Genomic DNA, 20,159 nt, shown 5'->3' on the forward strand with positions numbered 1-20,159 from the left:
TGTCTAGACATCGTGAACACATTTGATTTGCTCATAAATGCGTGGGAGAAGGTCGTAGAGAATTGGAAGTGAGCATCTGATGGAGTTGTTCAGTGGCTTCATGGTGTCCGACCAGCATCTCTGTGACTCTTGACCATCCCTTCATGCCTGCACTGCATGGGGAGAAGATGGCTACTGGAGCTCCAGACATCATGTCCTCATTCAAAATAGGAAGGTATGGGAATGGGGAGAAAGCTTTTCCCAAGAATGTATCATTTTTCCTAGAAATGTTCTACATATGTGTCATTAGCCATAAATATGTCTGTTGCATGGGCATGCTGAGCTTCCAGGGAGGGTGGGAAAGTGAATGATTAGACTGACAATGCACACCCCACATAAAGTCAAAATTCAGTTGGTAAAGAAGAGGAGGGAATGGATACTGAGTAAGTGACTCAGTATTTAACACAGTAGGCCTCCCATTTAGTTTTCTTTATATAGTGAACCAGTTTTCCCAGAAGATAAAAACAATTACTAATTTTATACAATAATCTTTAAATCACAAATCTCCCAGTCTGCGGAATTGGAATGAGACAACTGCTAGTGATAAACTCATGCTATCCTCAGAATCACTTTTTTATTTCAATAAATAGTGTTAATGGGTTGAGCTCATTTCAGCACCTGTATTCTTTCTACCCTAATACGAGTATTCTCTCAGGAGGCTCTTCAGCAATTCATGCAAATACATTTCTGTCAAACTCTTACATCAGTTTGACATACATGCTTCAACATGGCTGAGCCCCCATGGAAATTATTCAGGTGAAGAGTGGGGCAGAAGGAATGGCATCACACAAGTGTAGAAACAGCTGAAACAGTCAAGAAATAAAAAGTCAATATAATAAGCTATGGAGAGATTGGCTGGAGACAGAAGAAGGGGCTGTGTCTTGCAGAGCCCTGAAGGCCAATGGTAAGGACTGGGGATTTTATTTTAGGTGTAGTAAGAAGGTGTTGAGGTGCTTAGTTCATGCACAGGGCATAACTGGTTTATAGACTTTACCAGGGCAATCGCCCGTGGGTAAAAATAACTTACATGCATTCAAATATCTTTTGTTAAGTAAGTCGTTTGTCAATTTTGATGTGTCCAATGCATTACTTTGATAAGCGTCTTCTGTACTTCACACACCTAAGAAGAAAAATGCAGCTCTGTGTATAAGAGAGGGCTTTCCATAGACTTCTCTCTTTCTTCCAACAGCACAGACTTGCAGAGTTCTCTGGCAGGTAAGCATCCTTTTCATGGGCTCTAGTTTCTCTTCTGTACTCTCATGCCATTGTGAACAGCTTCATTATCTGTGTGCTAACCAAATACCGACACCCATCATGTCTGTTAAAGAAACCACTGGAGATTTGGGGTCTTGGAATGAATTACTTTTGATGGGCTTTTTAAAGAAAATGACTGGCTTCTGTATTAGTAATAAGATGGAGGGCACAAGAGTGGATTGGGGAAACAAGTCAGGAGTTACTTCAGGGGTCTCAGTGAGAGGTGGCTGCGTGGCTTAGCTTGGTGCTAATGGATCAAAAGAGCTGTAGCTAACTTGAGCTATATTTTGAAGATAAAGTAGAATATAGTGATGTATCGAGCTAAGGAAAGGATAGAGAAGGAATAATCAAGTATAATTCCCATAGTTGTGGGTCAAAAAGTAGTAGCAGAGTACTGGTCATTTATTAGTAATACTTGTTGAGTGAATGTGGAAAAAGGGGTGCCATAGTTACAACACGTGCAATATTTAAACAGTGTTAAAACGTTTAAACCTCACACCTTATGATATTGGCTGGACGGTTTATTATTTTTTCTTCTTTACAGATGTGGAGAACCCTCTCATAGTTCTGCTTTTGTTCATCTGGAGACTGGTCAGAGACAAAAGATGTGATGTGAAAATGGGAGGGAACAAAACCAAAGAGGCTAAGTGTATCTACAGAAAGAGCAGGAAGCAGGGGAGGTTAGAGGGAAGTGAGAAAAGCTGTGGGCTTGCTGGAGACAGCTTGGGTTGCTGGAGCCTCAGGGAAACTTGGAGCAGGGGCAGAGGGTGTTGAGCAGTGTGGCTGGAAGCCATGACTGGATCTCCTTTAAGTGGTTTGAGGAAAAGACTGCTTAATTTTATTTTTTATTTATTATTTTTTTTCAGGGAAAGGTAATTACTTCTGATAGCTGGCATATTCTGGTTTTTATGTGGTTCCAGGCAGAGGTTGAGTTCCTTAAGATTCTGACTTTAATGCTGTTTAACCAGTTTGGAGCACACAGAGGAAACGAAACCTGAGCAAAGGCTGATTTGGAAAGAAGCAGGGCAGGACTGGGGGGCAATGAAACGCAGTGGATTTGACCAAAGTCTTATTTTGAACTTTAGGGAAGACAAAGTTGGACTGGTCCATTGGATACAGGCTATGGAAGGCTTTGAAAAATTATGAATAGGAATTCATACTAGGTCAATTTTTTTGTGAACTATTTCTCTCTCCCACTGAAAGAAATTTTAGGAAATACGGAAAATTATTAAGATGATAGAAAATATTCATCATTCCATCATATAGAAAAAACTTTTCAGATTTACTGTATTTTTCCAGTCTTATATATGGGTGCATATGTATGTGTGTGTAAAAACTGTAATATGATTCATGATTGGAATTGTACCATAAGAACCATTTTACAATCTATTTAAAGTGATCTGTGAGTGCTGTCCTGTTAAATATTTCTCACAAAATAATTTTTGGCAGCAGGACGGTATTTCAGGGGTTGGGTATACCATGAGTTATTCAAACATTTCCTCTTAGACTTTATTGTAGCTATTCTCCCACTTCCCTAGTGAATATTATTATCTGCTACCTCTTTTTTGCCATTATGAATTCATTATAATCAACATTCCTGTACTAAGTCTGTAACTGATAAATTTTCCAGAATTAGAATTACTGATCAAAAGTAATGGACACTTTTATGGTCACTGGTATTATTGGTAGATATTGCCAAATGGCCTTGAAGGTTTGAACTCCTTTATATTTCTTCTAGGAAATGACTGGATTTTCTATTTCCCATTTCACTGCCTCCTCCCCAATTAACTGGGGATTAATTTTTAAAACATGAAAAATGTTATCTCATGACTTTAATTTGCAAGTCTTTGCTTATTAGTGTTTTGACAATTTTCATGTGTTTACTGGCTATTTTTCTCTTAAAAATTAAATTTTTGTTTTCAGTTTATCTTAAAAGGATAAATTCTAACTGTCTTCATCATTTAAGACAGTTTGGTCCCTAGACAGAGAGGTAACTAAATCAGTATTTCTACAATAGACCGAGAATCCATGTGGACTTCCACCCAGGAACCTATAATGCATACAGTTTGCTACTCCTCTTCTGTTCATCTTCCCAAATTTAACAATTTCTTCTGTGAAATGTAGTATTCAGAGAAAATGTGATTTTTTTCCTATTCCCTATAGTCCTTTGAGACATTCCTTCGATTGAAATTTTTTTCTCATTTTCACTGTTCCTCATACATCATTAGTAGGAACTCTTGGGTTATGGGAGGGCGATGTATGGACTGCATATTTATTGGGCTCTAATTGTGTGTCTAAATGAACGCACCAGCCATGCAACTACAAATGTAAGTCTTAAAAATGATAATTTGCATAATTAGCTGACAGGAAGGCCTGAGCTATTATTTAAGTTCACATATAACATTACATCGTCAGGTGTTAATTTATGCTCTGTTCTTTCCAGAATGATTGAGCTGTTTGGGAGTTTTATTTATGACTCATGCTCAGATCTATTTTGCAGTGCTGATAATGTAGAGATAATGGGAATTTATAGTTGGCTCTGACAAGAGGCCATAAAACAAATGACTGGATGTTTTCTCTATTGCTACAGGCTCAATTTGTAAAATAAAGTACTTAATAATTGTTATTAATGAACTCACTATGGTTGGTATATAGACACAGCTGGAAATCACATCTGTTATCAGGCAGCCTGGGTGGAGTAAAGTACAGACGCTGCAGGGAACTAATAGCTACAAAAGGAAATGACATCACAGAGCCATAGGAAGTGCCCATAGATGTTAGCTGTAGGGAGACAGAAGAGACTTAGGACAGAGATGCTTAGAGAAATGGGCTCTTTTTATTTATTTTCTTGCATATGTATCCCAATTACAAGCCAGAGTTCCAGGATTGATCCATGTATTAAATATCAGTAAAGCTTATATGCTATTTTTTAGGTAAAAGAATTAAAAGACACAAGATTCAGCTGGCCAACTTACCTTTTCTGTCTTATCTTCTGCTACTCCCCTTGAAACACTCTGTTGTTCCCTTGAAATTGTATATTTGTCTTTGTTTTTATAGACTTCTGCTTTCCTGCCTATGTGCTTTTCCTTATGTTTTTGCCTCCATTTGAGGCCACTGCTCTTAAATTATTTCAAAAGAGAAAGAACTATTCTTATTCATTCATTCACTTACTAACTTATTTGTATATGTCCCCAATCCCAAATTTCATTTTTTTAATTCATTCTTCATTGGCAATCATTCTAATGTATTTGGTATGTATCATTCATTTATATGTCATTTTAAAAAGTGTGTTTTGTTTTGTGTGTCTGTGTTTTTATTCTATGGAAATAATGGTAAGTTGTGGATCTCATTTTGTTTCATTTACTTAGCACTGAAGTGCCAGTCATGGTGCTCTGTGAACATCTAGTTCATTCTTTCTAAATGCTTCATCAAACTCCACGTGTATCCACCAAACTTGGTCTATCCACTTTTCCAGTTAGTGATGGACACTCGGATTGTGCTGAATCCCTATCACCATAAACAAGGCTGCAACAGACATGGCTATGTATGTCACTTGTGGACCTGTGGGAGAATTTCTTTGGTCTACACACCTGTGAGTGTAATTGCTGGGTTGTAAAATATATGTAAGCTTGACTTGACTAGGTGCCGACAGATAGATCTTGAGAATATCTGCACCATTCTTCTCCTAGCAGGAGGGTATGTAGGGTCCTCTATCCCTACACTCTACCGATAGTTGAGACTGCTTATTTTTTACATTCTAACTAAATTAACAGGGATAAGATACTGTTTCATTACTGTTTTCATTTGCTCCTGTGATGACTAATGAATTTGAATGTCTCTTGATTTACATATTAGCTGTTGGTTTTATTGCTTATTCATATTTTTGCCCATTTTTTTCTTTTGGTTTATCTGTCTTGTTGACTTAATCCTTACATGTTTGCATATTGCCAGTTTTGGATATTGTTGATAAAAGATTATCTCTCTTTATCCACTCTTCCTCTATTAAACAAAAACACTTAATTTTTTTAATAGAGGAAATAGTCATTTTAAAGACAGGTTTGCCTTTGCATGTAAGCTTTTCAAGTTTTTAAAAAGAGTTATTTCTTGACTCTGCATTGCAAACATGTACTCTGACATTTTCTTCTATTGATTTTCTATTTCATCTTTCATCAATCTCTCTGGATTTTACTTTTATATGTGATTTTAGTTAAGAATCCAATTTTATTTTCTTCCTAATGCCATAAATAAAACAACCTCTCTTTCACCTTTGATTTTTGCTGTTATACTTCTACATTTATTGTGATTTAAATTTTCATGTATACATGATCTTTCTCTAAGTTCAATGCTTTGTTCTATTGTTCTATTTGTCCATCTGTTCTTAAATCACTACCCATTTATTTTATTACTACATGTTGGGATAGGAAGTCTGCCATGGGCCCTGGAAATCCCTGAACATTCCTGCTGAGAATGCCAAACTGCAAGACTTATCTGTCTCCTGAAACTGAGCAGTTTCTGTAGCTGGTCGTACAGGCAGCCAAGTAGGTCAAGCAACCATAGTATGACTATTTGTCATTCTCTGGTGGCTGGGAGGGAGAGGGAGAGGGAGAGGAGGAGAGGAGGAGAGAAGGAGAGACTCTCCTGTTTGCTGCTTACTCTGAATGGTGCTGTACCCATCTGAGTGGGGCTGCTTGATCATTGTCTTGCATCACTTTTATCACTCCTGTTTCTAAATGTAAAATTGTAATAATTAGTATTGATGTTTTATGTGTATGTGCCATGAATTCTCGTAAAATCCATGGGTGATTGTCCCGATTGAAAGGAGCTACTTGTAGAGAAATTATCATAGACAGTGGATCATCAACTAGTTTCCCAGTTCCTCTGTTGATGTACAACAGAAAGCAGGAAGAATTCTTGGAAGAGAAAAGGGAATCACAGTCATTGGGTCTGTAAACCCCATGGACCCTTCTGAACCATGGATATGTGCTACTGTTAACTGTGCTCATTGGACTAATATGAGTGAATATTTTGTCAACACTCGAATGTGTGTATTCTGCAATTGTTGAGTGGAATATTCTGTGAATATCAATCATTTCAAGTTGTTGATAGTGCTCTTCAAGACTTGTTTATGCTTTCTCTAATCTTCTGCCTATCTTATCTATCAGTTACTGATTGAGGAGTGTTTAGAGCTCTCATTTTAATTGTGTATTTGTCTATTTCTCATTTCAGCTCTTTGTTTGCTTCATATATTTTGAATCTGCTATTAGATGCATATACATTTAAATTTTTAAAATAAATTAACAATTTTATCCTTAGGAAATATTCCTCTTTATCTCTGGTAACAAGACTTGTTCTGAAGTCTGCATCATCTGATATTATCTTAGGCATTGCAGCTTCCTTTCATTTAGTGCGTGCATGGCATGCCTCTTTCTATCCTTTCACTTTTAACTTAACCATGTGTTTATATTTAAAGTGGGTTTCTTGCAGATCATATTTAGTTATTATTTTAAGTCCAATTTGAGAATCTCTGGCTTTAAATGGGAGTGTTTACACCAAGGGTCAACAAATGTTTTCTGTAAAGGGCCAGACAGAACAAATGTTAGGCTTTTGGGATCATATGGTCTCTGTTGAAATCACACAACTCTGCTATTATAGCATGAAAGCAGCACAGATAACACAAGAATGAATGGGCGTGGCTGTGTTTCAATACAATGGAACGTTATAAAAAATGATGATGGGCTGTATTTGGCCCATGGGACATAGCTTGCTGACTCATGGTTTAGACCCTTCACATGTAAAGTAAATATTGTCATAGTCAAGTTTAAATCACTCACTTTGTTGTTTGTTTTCAGTTTGACTCATGTGTTATTCATTTCCTACCATCCCCTGCCACCTTCCATATCCTTTGGATTGTGTATTTTTAGGATTCCATTTTATCTCCATTTTTCAATGTATTATCTGTACCTCTTTGTGTTATTATTAAATGATTGCTCTGTGGTTTACTATATACATACCACAGTCTACCTTAATATTACAGCACTTTATAGATAGTAAAAGAATCTTAAATACTTTCACCCCCCCAGCATTTTATGTGATTTTTTGTCATACATTTACTTTATTTAAATTATAAGACCTCCAGTGCATTGCCACTACTTTTGTTTGATGCAATCAGTTATCTTTTTTAAGACAGTGATCCCAGGCCTGCTGTGTTAACTTGCTTTTTTTGCACAAGTGCAATAAAGGATGTATTCTTTTTCAACTAGAGTCTCACAAGATAAGTTCTGCCAAAAATGATTTATGTGACCCTTTTCTCAATTTTCCCTCAGGCAGGATACAACCAATGCCTTTCTAAATGTATAGGAGCCAAGTTAACTCATTACATATAACAAATGTATTATGTAATGTACTTTACATATTATAAAATGTAATACTATACAAAATACAATAGTTTACTATATATAATAAATGCATTAGGGTTTGTCTTCCAGAATCTGGGTTGAATTGGTGGGGTACATTGAAAACTGGAATGCACTATACAAGCTTAGCATGACCTGATATAATAAGAGCAACGTTATCTATCATTTATCTATTAGACCAAGAGCGTCTCTGCCACTCTTCCATATTCCATGGTAGGTGAAGTAATGGCTCTCCAAAGATGTCCATGCCTCTGGAACCTGTGAATATATGACCATACACTGCAAAAGAAACTTTGGAGATGTGATTCAGGTTAAGGACCTTATGCTGGAAAAACTATCCTGAATTATCCAGGTGGGCCCAATGTAATCACATGAATCCTTAAAAATGGAGGATCTCTTCTGACTGTAGGCAAAGAGAGGTGTGACTGAAAAAGTGTGTCTGAGGCATCAAAGCTTCTGGCTTTGAAGATGGAGGAGAGGGTCACAAGTCAAGGAATGTGAGCTGTCTTTAGAAGCTGGAGAAGTGAGGAAACACTTTCTCTCAGGGCATCTCAGTGAGACCTGTGTTAGACTTGTAATTTACAAAATGCTGAGAGATAATACATTTTTATTGTTAAAATTACATTTGGGCTAATTTGTTGCAGCAGCAATAGCAATACACCTTCTTTTTTCAGAAATGATGACCCTATCAGGGAGGATGATTTATCCATTAGGCATTGTTGATAGTGCTTTGGTAGTAGGGATTCATGAGAAGCTACTGGGGGAGTATTCACTGTGTGTGTCAAAAAATGGTTATTGGGGATAATAATGAATGAGACTGAGATTGTGAGCATGTAGGGAAGTCCCTAAATACCTGCAGTATTATCAGTGAACATTTCTTTAAAAATACTTAACATGTTTATCTATATTTATACTTTCAAATGAAGAAAACTCAAAGGCATTTGTCCAATACTTTTTGTAAGTAACTTAACCTTTCTGGATATGTTTACTTGCCTATAAAGTAGAAATACTATGCCTCTCCATAACCTATCTCAAAATTCTTGGCATCAACTCAGTTAAGGTATGTATAAGATCTTTGAAAGAACAGATCCTATCCAGGTGGCTCCATGTTTACTCAGTGTGTGCCATGCTTCAGAAATAGTGGTGCCGTGTATGAGCATGTCAGGTTTAATCATCCACCCGATTGCTGTCCCAAGGCTGAGTGTTGTGATCGCAATGCTGCTATTGGCACTTGTTCTTATGAAATCTCTGTGTCTCCCACGTGAAAAATTGTTTTGTTAAATACGCAATTCTGGATTGATCTGTCTGTCCGTCTATCTATCTATCTATCTATCTATCTATCTATCTATCTATCTATCTATCTATGTATCTTCAGTGCTCAGATGGTATTTAATTATCTGATGGCTTCCATAGGATAAAGTTAGCTCTAAGGCTAAGTTCCTCCTTTGCAGATCATCAGTACTTTCTCTGGCTGATTTTAAGATCTTTCTGACTTTGTGTTCTGGTGACAACATTGTGTGCACACATAGATTTCTTTTTATTTGCCCTGCGTGGAATATATAGTGTTTTTAAAACCTCTATAATCAAGACTTTTATTTGTTCATGGAAGATTAGGAAGATTCTTATTAGGAAGATTCTAGCCATTATTTCTTGCCACTCCTTCTGGAACTCCAGTTAGCTGTGTGTTGCATTGTTTATTCTATCCCTCCATTTCTCTTAACTTCCTTTTGGTATTTTCTTTTTTTTCCTGTGTAATTTACTCATATATAAATTCTGGGTAATTTATTCAGATATACCTCCCAATACACCAAATTATTCATTATGCAGTGGGCTTTTCCCATTTGAGTTCAATACTTTTAATGTTATTTCAGATCTGCCTGGTTATTTCTAGCAGTCCTTTCACTTGCTCATCTTTGTGATTTCCTCTTTTATTCCTTTAAATATTATCTACTCAGCCACTCTATTTTCTGTATCTAACAATTCTAATTTGAATATCTGCAGTCTAAATGATCTGTTGTTTCTGTTTACTCACACATAGTGGATTGCCTCTAATGTATTTGGTCATATTTAAATATGAACTCTTATTTTCATAAGTTAATTTGAGGAAATCCTGAAGGCCTACATTTTCGATTTGCTTCTTTCTAGAAAGATTTTCATCTGGTTCTTCCAGGAGTCAAGAGGACGACTGATCTGCAGCTACTTTTGTATCTTCAAAAGTCTCCGATTCACGTGGGAGCCCCAGTTTTAGTTCATCTGCTTGGCGGCTGTCTCAACCTCAGTCTTAAGGTCACAGAGCTGCTACTGGCCTTTGTCCTCAAGGAGACCCTGTGGCCCATTTGCTCACTACTCACTGCTCTTAGTTTCCAGCTTCTATTTAAGTATATAAGTTAGAGGTGTTTTTTTTTTTTTTTTTTTTTTTTTTTTTTTTTTTTTTATCACGGGTGTGTGCCCATGGGGAGAGTGTTTCCTTAGAGATTTTCCCTAATTTTTGAGAGTCTATTAATACATAAATCTTGTTACCCAGGATTTAGTTATTCTCCAGGAGTAGTCCTCCTCCCTGCCAGACTGTCTAGTCTTTGTAATGCCAGAAGCAAAATCCCTAATTTGCTTATTTTTTAAAAAATTATTATTTTAAAATTGGGCCTAAGAAGCAGAAGGTTGAGTTCGTCACACTTCGCAGTTCAGGACATATCACTTGCCCATGCACGGCTGATCTTTTATTTATTTTTTGATTTGATTTTATTCCATTTCTCTACTTCCATCAACCCCACAACCATTTTAACATATTTAATATGTATCCCTTTGTTTTATATGTTTTTATAAAAATAGTTTTGTATGCACATATTCAGTTAATGCATACAAATGGTATTGTGTTATCTCATTTTGTTTCTTACTTTTTAAAAGCACAATGATTTATTTATTTCTGTTTTTGGAGGAGTCTCACTATGTCACCTAGGCTGGAGTGCAGTGGCTTTTCACAGGGATAATCCCACTACTGATCAGCATAAGAGTTTTGACCTACTCTGTTTCCAACCTGGGCCAGTTCACCTCTTCTTAGGCAACCTGGTGGGCCGCTGCTCCCAGGAAGTCACCATATCGATGCTGAACTTAGTGTGAAAACCTGATAGGCAGAGCTGACTTCAGCCCAGAAGTCCTGGGCTCAAGTGATCCTTCTGTCTCAGCTTCCTGAGTAGCTGGAACTGGGATTATAGGCATGCACCACCGGGCTTGGCTAAAGCACATGTGTTTAAGATCCACCCGGGAGGGCGAGGTGGCTCATGCCTGTAATCCCAGCACTTTGTGGGGCCAAGGCGGTGGATCACCTGAGGTCAGGAGTTTGAAACCAACCTGGCCAACATGGCGAAATCCTGTCTCTACTAAAATTACAAAAATTGGCCAGTTGTGGTTGTCAGCGCCTGTAATCCCAGCTACTCAGGAGGCTGAGGCAGGAGAATTACTTGAACCCGGGAAGTGGAGGTTGCAGTGAGCCAAGATTGCACCACTGCACTCCAGCCTGGGCTACAGAGCAAGACTCCATCTAAAAAAAAAAATCCACTCAGATTTCTCTATGTATGTCTAGTTTGCTGTTTCTAGCATCTTCATAGAACTGCGTGGTATAAATCCATCACATCTGTTTATCCATACTTCCAGTAATAAGCATATTGCCTCTGAATCCCCATAAATCTCATTATTTTAGCAATGTGAAATCAGAAGATCTGGGAGGCAAATTGTTTTGTTCAAGATACATAACAGATTTTTTTTTCAGTTTTTGAGCATAAATTGCTTGATTATTGATCCAGTAATAACCCTACTATATCCTATTGCTTCCTCATGCATCCTTGATTGCAACTATTATCTGAAATAAAGCAGAAAGGTCTTGTATCATTTTGAGCAAATAACATACCTACTATATGATCAAAGACTTGGAGTCTAGAACAGGGATCCAAATAGGCTTCATCTTGATTACCATGTTGGATCGAATGGTAGAGGCTTCTGCAAGCACTGTCAGGAAGAACTGCGGGGCACATTTGAGATCTGCAGCAGACTGTGCTGTTATCATCAGTAGATGCCTGTCCAAAGCTTGGGATGAGGAGTATTGGTCATCTATCTTATCCTTGATCTTTCAGCTGAGTTAGAGAATGGATAAATAGCGTTGAAATATCTTTAATAAACACCTCTGGAAATTACAAATGCAAAGCCCAAATATAGTTGATGAGGACGTTTAATTTCTCTGTGCCTTTAGTACTAAGCACCTATCCCATGACTTAGGAAACGAAGGAACTGCTATGATTTTGGATTACTTAAAGCTGGCTATTTAAACCAATTCCTTACACCCTCAAAGGGTAATATTTAATTTGGAGAAGGCACATTTGTTTAGAAATAAATGTGAGATATTAATTATGTTAAAATATAATAGCTGTCTATATGAATTGTTTTAGAAATAAAAACATGTTCAAAAGGTCATGGTAGGGCTCTTATGAAGAAATGAGGGGATGTTTGGGACTTTAATAACTGATTAAAGGACTAGAAGCTATGTAGTGATGGTTTGGGGAGGTAATCCCTAGCAGGCAGTGTGAACAGAATCACGTAGGAATCACTCAAAGATGAAGCAGACGTGGTAGATTAAGACACCAGAGTGTCTTTGTCTCAGGTCTGAATAAATCTAGACTCCAAGTTTGGGAAGGAGGGACTCTGGGAGGTCATCTAGTCCAGATTCTATCCATATTTAAAATATGTTACCCATTTTTGTTTGAACACGTCCATTGACGGAGACCTCACTACTGAAAAGATAGCTCAATTTCTTTTTTTAAAAATTATTTGTTTTATTTAATTTTAATTTTTATTATTTATTTATTTATTTATTTATTTGAGACAAGGTCTCACTCTGTCAACCTGGCTGGAGTGCAGTGACACAATCATGGTTCACTCCAGCCTTGACTTCCCGGCTCAAGTAACTCCCTGCTCATCCTCCTGAATAGCTGGGACTACAGACACACACCACCATGCCCAGCTAATTTTTTGTTTTTATTTTTAGTAGAGACAAGTTCTTGCTATCTTGCCCAGGCTGGTCTTAAACTCCTGGCCTCAAGCAGTCCTCCTGCCTCAGCCTCCCAATGTGCTGGGATTACAGGCATGAGCCACTCTGCCTGGCTCCATTTTGTTTTTGGAAAGGATTGATTGGAAGTTTTTCCTTGAATAATTCTAAAATCTGCCTCTTGTAAACTCATTCACCAGGCCCAGTTATGTTATCTGGAAAAGAATCCAGAAGGAGTTCTGTAACTTTGGAATAATAATGCCCCTCTCATAGCTTCCACAATTCCATTGGTAGGAGGGTAAAGAGAGGGCTGTGGATCCCCATATATCCCTACATCTCACCATTTACAACCTCAGGTGCTTCTAGACATTGCCAAATGTCCCTGGGGTAGGTGGATGGAGAGCAAATCATTGCCATTGAGAACAACTGCCCTAGACTCTGTTCCTCAACCTCCTTTTCTCCACATATTTTTGTCTTTTATGATAAAATATTTTGGAAACTATCATCTTTACTTTTCGTCCTAATTTTTTATCTACAAATCTCTCTTAATCCCCTTTTAGGTAAGGAGTCTGACCCTATTGCTCCTCTGAAGCTTCTCTTGTTAAGGTCACTATAGACCTCGATGTTGCTAAATCCAATGTTCAATTTTCAGTCATCATCTTACCTGACTTATCAGAAGTATTTGACATTATTGATCACTTTCTCTTCATTAAAGAAATGTCTTTACCTTGAATGTTACCTCGTTCTTCATTTTTCTCCTATCTTATTGGTCACCATTTGTCTGCCTTTATCATCTGACTCCTAAAACTTAGTAAGCCCGGGGCTCTGTGCTTGCACTTCTCTTTTCTATCTGCATTATTCCCTTATTGACTGTGTCCAGTCTAAATATTAATAATATCTAATACATTATTGATTTTATAGTTAGATATCCAACCTGACTTACCATTTAAACTTCATACTCTTATCCAGCTGCTACTCAGCACTTCAACTTGCAAATCTATTAGTTCAAACTTAATATGTTCCAAAACAAACTTCCAATTATCCTGCTCTTTAAATCCTCTCCTTCTGTAGTCTTTAACCGGTAAAAGGAAGTTTTTTTTGTTTTTTTTTTTTTTAATGTATCAAGGTTTACATCACAGAGTCTCCTTTATTTTTTTTCACATTCTTTTCCTATTTTTTGAAAAGTGTTTTGCATTTACCTTAGAGACATATTGGAAGTCTGGACCATTTTTATGCACCTCCAGCATTACCAGCTGGATCCAAGCTACTATCATTCCTCTCACCATCCCCAGATCATTGCACCAGTCTCTCAAAGAGCATCCCTGCTTCCTTCCTCTCTCTGCTACCTCCCTCTGTTGTCTATAGTCAACACAGCCACTATCGATCTGCATAAAACCATGTTAAAATGAGGAAATGTTGGTCAAAGTGTATAAACTTGCATTTATAAGATAAATACATTATAGAGACCTAATGTACACCTTGGTGATTATAGTTAATAATGTATTGTATACTCAATTTTGCTAGGAGAGTGGATCTTAGGTATTCTTACAACACAAAAACAGATACCTAAGTGAGGTGATGGATATGTTAATTAACTTGGTTTAGGTAATCATTTCACAATGTTTACATCTATCAAAACATCCAATTGTACATCTTGAACACAGAGATTTTATTTATCAGTAGTACATCAATAAAGAGTAAAATTACAAAAAAAAACGATGAAGTTCGGTCATCTCACTTCTTAACTCCAAACCCTTCAGTGGCCTCTTATATTACTCAGGGTGAAAGTCAAAGCCTTACCATGGTATAGAAGACCCCATCTCTTCCACCGTCTCCGTCTTTGTTTCTTCAGTATCCTCTTCACTGGTCCTGAAACATGACCCTCATGTTCCTGCATAGGGGATTTTGTGTTTTCTTTTTTATTGGCTTAGAATGTTCTTCCCCAAATATCTACATAGCTAACTCTCAGATATCCTTCCAAAGTTGGCTTTTAAATGCCCTCCTCACTGAAGCCTATTTAAAATTGCACTCCCTGCTATCTCTGGTCCTCCCTTTCTTGGTCCTTTCTTTAAATTTTCTTCTTAGCGTCTATCACTTCCCAATGTGCTATGTAATTTATTGTTTGGCTTATTGTCTGTTCTCCATCACTGGAATAGAGTCGTCTTCAAGGTGAAAAAAAGATACTTGCCTGCTTTGTTTACTGCATGATGACCAGTGCCTGAAAAAATAATACTAAAAAGTATTGTTGAATGATTGACTGGAATAATAGAAAATAATTTCTTATTTTGATTAATTTAGAAAAAAATCAGAGGCTGAGCCTTGTTTTCAGTTGGTCCTGTTTTTTTTTTTTTTTTCTTTTTTCTTTTTTTTTTCGAGACAGGGTCTGGCTCTGTTGCCCAGGCTGTAGTGCAGTGGCATGATCTTGGCTCACTGCAACCTCTGACTCCTGGCTCAAGCAATCCTCTTGCTTCAGCCTCCCAAGTAGCTGGGACCAAGGTACGTGACACCATGCCTGGCTAATTTTGTATTTTTGTCGAGATAGGCTTTCACCATGTTGTCCAGGCTGGTCTTGAACTCCTGAGCTCAAGTGATCCACCCGCCTCAGCCTCCCAAAGTGCTGGGACTACAGGCCTGAGCTGTGGTGCCTGGCCAACTGGTACATTTAAACCTGGTTTGTCATCTGCCTTAGTAGCAGGATAGCTCAGTTATTTTTAACCTATACTAAGATGACTTTTAAATCTACACTATAAAACTGAATATAATCACTATAATCCTACCATATATGATCTCTATGCCTAAATTTCTTTATGTTGTACAAGTGAGTTCTGGACCAAAGTGTCTGTGTATGCTGCTTTACGATGAATAGGTGAGAAAAACATTATGCAGAATCATCATTGGGGTAGGTGAAAGCTCAAGCCTCTGACTTAAATTTTCTTTATATGCAAAAAGAAGATTTAAAAAATTCGGATAGGATTAATAATACATGATCATTATGATAAATTCCATTAACTCATAAAATATTAAGAAGAAAGTAAAGGTCACACTGAAATATTCACCATTAACATTTTGGTGACCATCTCTCCATTCATTTCTTTACATAATATATGCTACATATTATTTTAAATAAGTGGTATTATGTTCATGTTTTTATTGCACATACATTCATAAATGACCTTCCTATCCTGCATTCCGTTTTTCCCCACCCTCTTCACTCTTCCTGAGAATAACAATGGGAGGTATATCTTCCATGCACTGCCTCTTCATGTCTATGTAGTCATGTACAAATATAATGATGCACCCTGTTCGGATTTTCTTTGTATTTATTCTTCTTGGAGCTCCTTGGTCATCTTGGATTTATAATTTAATGCTTTTAAATAATCACATATATCATATTTTTGCCATTATTTTTCAATTATGTTTTTGCCCCTTTATCACCTCTTCTTTTGGTCTGTCTACAATTACACATGTGTTAAACCACTAAATGTTTTCTTGCAAGTCATTAAGTCATTTCATTTAAATTTTTTGTGTTCTTCACATTTAAAACTTAATATTTCTGTCTTCAAGTAATTGATCCTTGCTTCTGCAATCTTCAATCTAGCATTAAACCCACCCAGTGTTTTGTTATTGTTGTTTTTCCAGATATTATTCTAGAGTTTCCATTTGGTTCTTTTTTTATAGTTTCCACTTCTCTGATGCATTTCTGTGTTTTCATTCATTATGTTCATCTTTTTCTTTGTCTTCTTGAACAATAGTAGCTTTAAATTCTTGTTATCTACTTCCAACATTTGGTCATCTTAAGATCTATTTCTATTTACTTTTTTTTGGATAACATTGGACCATATTTCTTTTTTCTTTCCATGTCTAATATATTTTTCATTAGATTTTGGATACTGTAGATGTTAGCTTGTAGGAACTCTGGGTTCTTTTGTGTTCCTCCGAAGAGTGATTAGTTTTGCCCTCACAGGCAGTTAAATTACTGGCTAATCACCTTGAACTTTTGGAGGCTAAATTTTACACCTCGTTAGAGCAACTCTGTTTTATGTTTCCCCTCAAGTCCTAAGAGGACACTCTTAGTTTTGGGGTATAGCATTTACTCCTAAATGTGGTAATTATGGGATTTCAATGGAAGCCGGGGGTGTTTGTAAGTACTTCTAATTTAGTGCGATTCAAGTTCAAAATTCAGACTTCATTGCAGCTGAATTCTCCTCTCCAGTTTTGCCTTCCAACTGTTGCTTTCTGCTAGAGTCTTTGAAGCCTCCTCCCTGCATGTGTGGTTCAAGGGTCAGCCAAGGATTTCTCCATTCCTGGACTTTCTTTTTTAATTTTCAGTTTCTCACACAGCCTTGGATTTTGTCCCCTGATGCCTTAAGTTAAAAAGACAGTGTATGGTTTTCTGCCTGAGTTCTAGGGGCTGCATACCATGTGGTCTTAAAGCCTTTAGAAGAAAAGCCACATGTGATGGTAAGTTTTATGCGTTAACTTGGCCAGGTGATAATGCCCAGTTACGCAGTTAAATACTAATGTAGGTTTTGCTGTGAAGGTGTTTTGTAGATGTGGTTAACGTATTGGTTGACTTTAAGTAAAGAAAATTATTATCTGTAATATGAGTGGACCTCCTTTAATCAATTGAAAAGCCTTAGGAGCAAAACTGAGGTTTCTCTGAAGCAGTAGAAATTTTGCCTTAAGATCATAGCATCAGCTTTTGCCTGAGAGTTTTCAGCCTGCTCCTGTTCCCTGCAGATTTCAGACTTACCAGCTCTCAGAAGCATGTGAGCCAAATCCTTGAAACATGACACACATGTATATATAATTATTTATATATAAATATACGTGTGTGTGTGTGTGTGTGTGTGTGTATGTGTATCCTGTTGGTTCTGCTTCTCTGGACAACCTGACTGATATACCATGTAAACATGTATCTGTCTCAGTTCATTTCCTTTCTTTGAAATATTTAATCTCCTCAGTTCCTACCTGGTTTTGTCATTTTTTATGACTTTAAATAGTTTTTATACATTTTTTTCCAGAGCAGGTAATTGTTAGCTGCATGATGTTTAACTTGATACAAGCTACTTTGGCATTAAAGGATCTGATTTTTATCGAAATATAGGGTTAACTGTGCATCCCTGAGATGAATCTAATTTGGTCATTACTGAAATACTATATGCTACTTGTTTGGTTTGTAATATTTGCCTTAGAATTTTAACATTGAGGTTCAAAATTAAAGTTTGCCTATAATTTCTATTTCTTGTACCAATTTTGTCAGGTTTTAGAATAAAGAATATGCCAATTGACTAATAGAAATTAATGTGTTTTTCCCCCTTAAAAATAGTCTGGAAATGTTTAAAATTAAATTTTTTTCTTTTTTGTGTGTTAGGTAGAACTTGCATGTAAATGTGTCATCTTATTTTACTGTTGTTGGTAATGGTGGTGTTCTCTCTCTTCATATGTTACAAATTTGTAAATTTTATTGTTTTTTCCTAGATCTTTCTCTTTAGCTTTGCTGACCTTTGTTATTTTTTGTTTTCTATTTCATTAATGGTTACTTTTAAGTTTATTATACCCTTAATCTTGATTCGTTTTTATTCTGATGTTTTTACACTTGTTAAGATGAGAGCATATTTCATTAGCTTTTTTTTTGTAATATAAGGATTTAGGGTCACACATTTATTCTAAGTATTGTATCCTATATGTTTTGATATGTTTTATTATGTTTTAGTATTAAGTATTTATCAAATCTCCATTATAGTCTTCTACTTGACTCTTGAGTTAGTAAAAAATGTTTCCCTTTGTAATTTCGAAAGTGAGTTTTTAAAACAACGTTTCCTTTCACTTACTGATTTCTGTCGAGTGACTTTTTAGTTAAGGAAGAACATATATGATATGTTACCAGTTCCTTGAAGTTTGTTGAGCTGTGTTTTATGGTCTAGTATGTTGTGAATTTTAATAAATGTCCCATGTGAATTTAAATAAAAAGTGCATCCTGTAATTACTGTTGGATTTTTAGAGGGCAGCCAACATAATACACCTGTCTTCTCCACAAGAGTTCTGGCAGCATCAAGAAATGAAACAAAATGTTGATAGATGGTGTCCAACTTATTCATTTTATTACTGATCAAGCTGATGTTTTGACTGTGGCTTAAAGGTATGGGCAAGTGAATGTCTTAACACTAAACATTTAGGCAGAGTAACCCATTTGGTTTCAGGGCGCGCCAGGCCGATGTGGCCTTCTCTCATAATGGATGGTAGCTACTATGGCCAAATTATGGCAGAGACTATTAGAGCAGATTATTTAGTCCCTGTCAGAAGCTTAGTTCTAAGAAAAAGAGAAGGGGAAGGATTTGGCATCTGTATGCCACATTTTTCTTTCTATGCTGAATGATAAGATTAATCCTTTGGGGAAGAGTATGTTAGGATTGAAGAATGGCCAGAAGTGTTACTCTAGTGAAATCCCCACCAGATGAAAGGACATATCAGGTGTGTTCCTCTAACACTATTTTCTGTATTTTCATTAGGTGAAGCTTGTTAAGTGTAGTGTTCAAGTCTTTCAAATTATTATTTCATGCCAGCTCAGCCAAACATGCAAAATATATATGTGTGTGTGTGTAAACTAAAGTTTGGGATGTGTAGCATATCATAGTACACAAGACGAACATTTGCTTTTTGTTTTATATATTTATGCCTTTTTATTTATAAAATATCTACCTTCTTTTCTAAAACAGTTTTGTTGTTTTCCTAATTAAAAACCTAGTAAGTCTCTTTCATTTTCAGTTTTCTTAATAATAAAAACATTTTTATGTTATACATTATCTTCTGAGTATAGTTTTTACCTTGCTTCATGTTCTACTTTTTGTTCTATAGACAGTCTCTGACTTATGATGGTTTGACTTCAACTTTATAATGGTGTGAAAGAAACATGTATTCAGTATAAGCCATGCTTCACACTTTAAATTTTGATCTTTCCTGGGCTAGGGATGTGTGGTATGATACCTTCTTGTGATGCTGGGCAGTGTCTGCAGGTCCCCGTCAGCCACAGAATCAGGAGTGTAAGCATCTGAGACTCTGCAGTGTACTGTGTCGCCAGCTGATTTTGCCCAAATGTAGGCTAATTTCGCCCAACTGTAGGCTAATTTCAGTGTTCTAAGCATGTTTAAAGTAGGCAATTGGTTAGGTGTATTAAATGCATTTTTGAGACAATATCATGTTACAATGGATTTATTTGAATGTAACAGCATTTAAGTTGAGGAATATCTGTTCATATAAATCAAACATAAGAAGGCTCTGAAAGGTGGAAAGAAGAATGCTGACTGGCTAGGTAGGGTCTTGGGGCCAGAGGAATGACATGGTGGTGGGCTCCCTGGATTTTCTTTTTGCCTTCTATATCCCAGACTTTTTGGTGGAGAAACTAGCAGCACAGAAAT

The 20,159-nt window shown here is 36.7% G+C and overlaps 1 long non-coding RNA gene and 1 pseudogene across 2 annotated transcripts, besides 1 other annotated feature; both read right to left on the minus strand.

Annotated features, from left to right (window-relative positions):
* Nucleotides 1–594: 594 nt before the first annotated feature.
* LOC105369577 (uncharacterized) lies at nt 595–4,016 on the minus strand. 2 transcript variants are annotated; one of them, XR_948199.3, is made up of 4 exons: nt 3,933–4,000; nt 1,793–1,881; nt 1,067–1,330; nt 595–842 (listed from the first exon to the last, which is right to left on the minus strand). It is a non-coding gene; the product is annotated as an uncharacterized LOC105369577 (long non-coding RNA). The 2 variants fall into 2 exon arrangements; XR_948198.2 differs by lacking the exon at nt 1,793–1,881 and having other exon boundaries at nt 3,933–4,016.
* Nucleotides 5,277–6,476: an enhancer, noted in NCBI's record as "CDK7 strongly-dependent group 2 enhancer chr11:130868662-130869861 (GRCh37/hg19 assembly coordinates)". NCBI's record gives its function as "activates an origin of replication core promoter dependent on BRD2, BRD4, P300/CBP, MED14 and CDK7 cofactors, with strong dependence on CDK7, by STARR-seq in HCT116 cells {active_cell/tissue: HCT116}" and the evidence as "EXISTENCE:reporter gene assay evidence [ECO:0000049][PMID:35650434]".
* On the minus strand, nt 10,638–10,939 carry RN7SL167P (RNA, 7SL, cytoplasmic 167, pseudogene; annotated as a pseudogene).

Source organism: Homo sapiens, chromosome 11 (assembly GCF_000001405.40).
Source record: "Homo sapiens chromosome 11, GRCh38.p14 Primary Assembly".
Taxonomy (NCBI): Eukaryota; Metazoa; Chordata; class Mammalia; order Primates; family Hominidae; genus Homo; species Homo sapiens.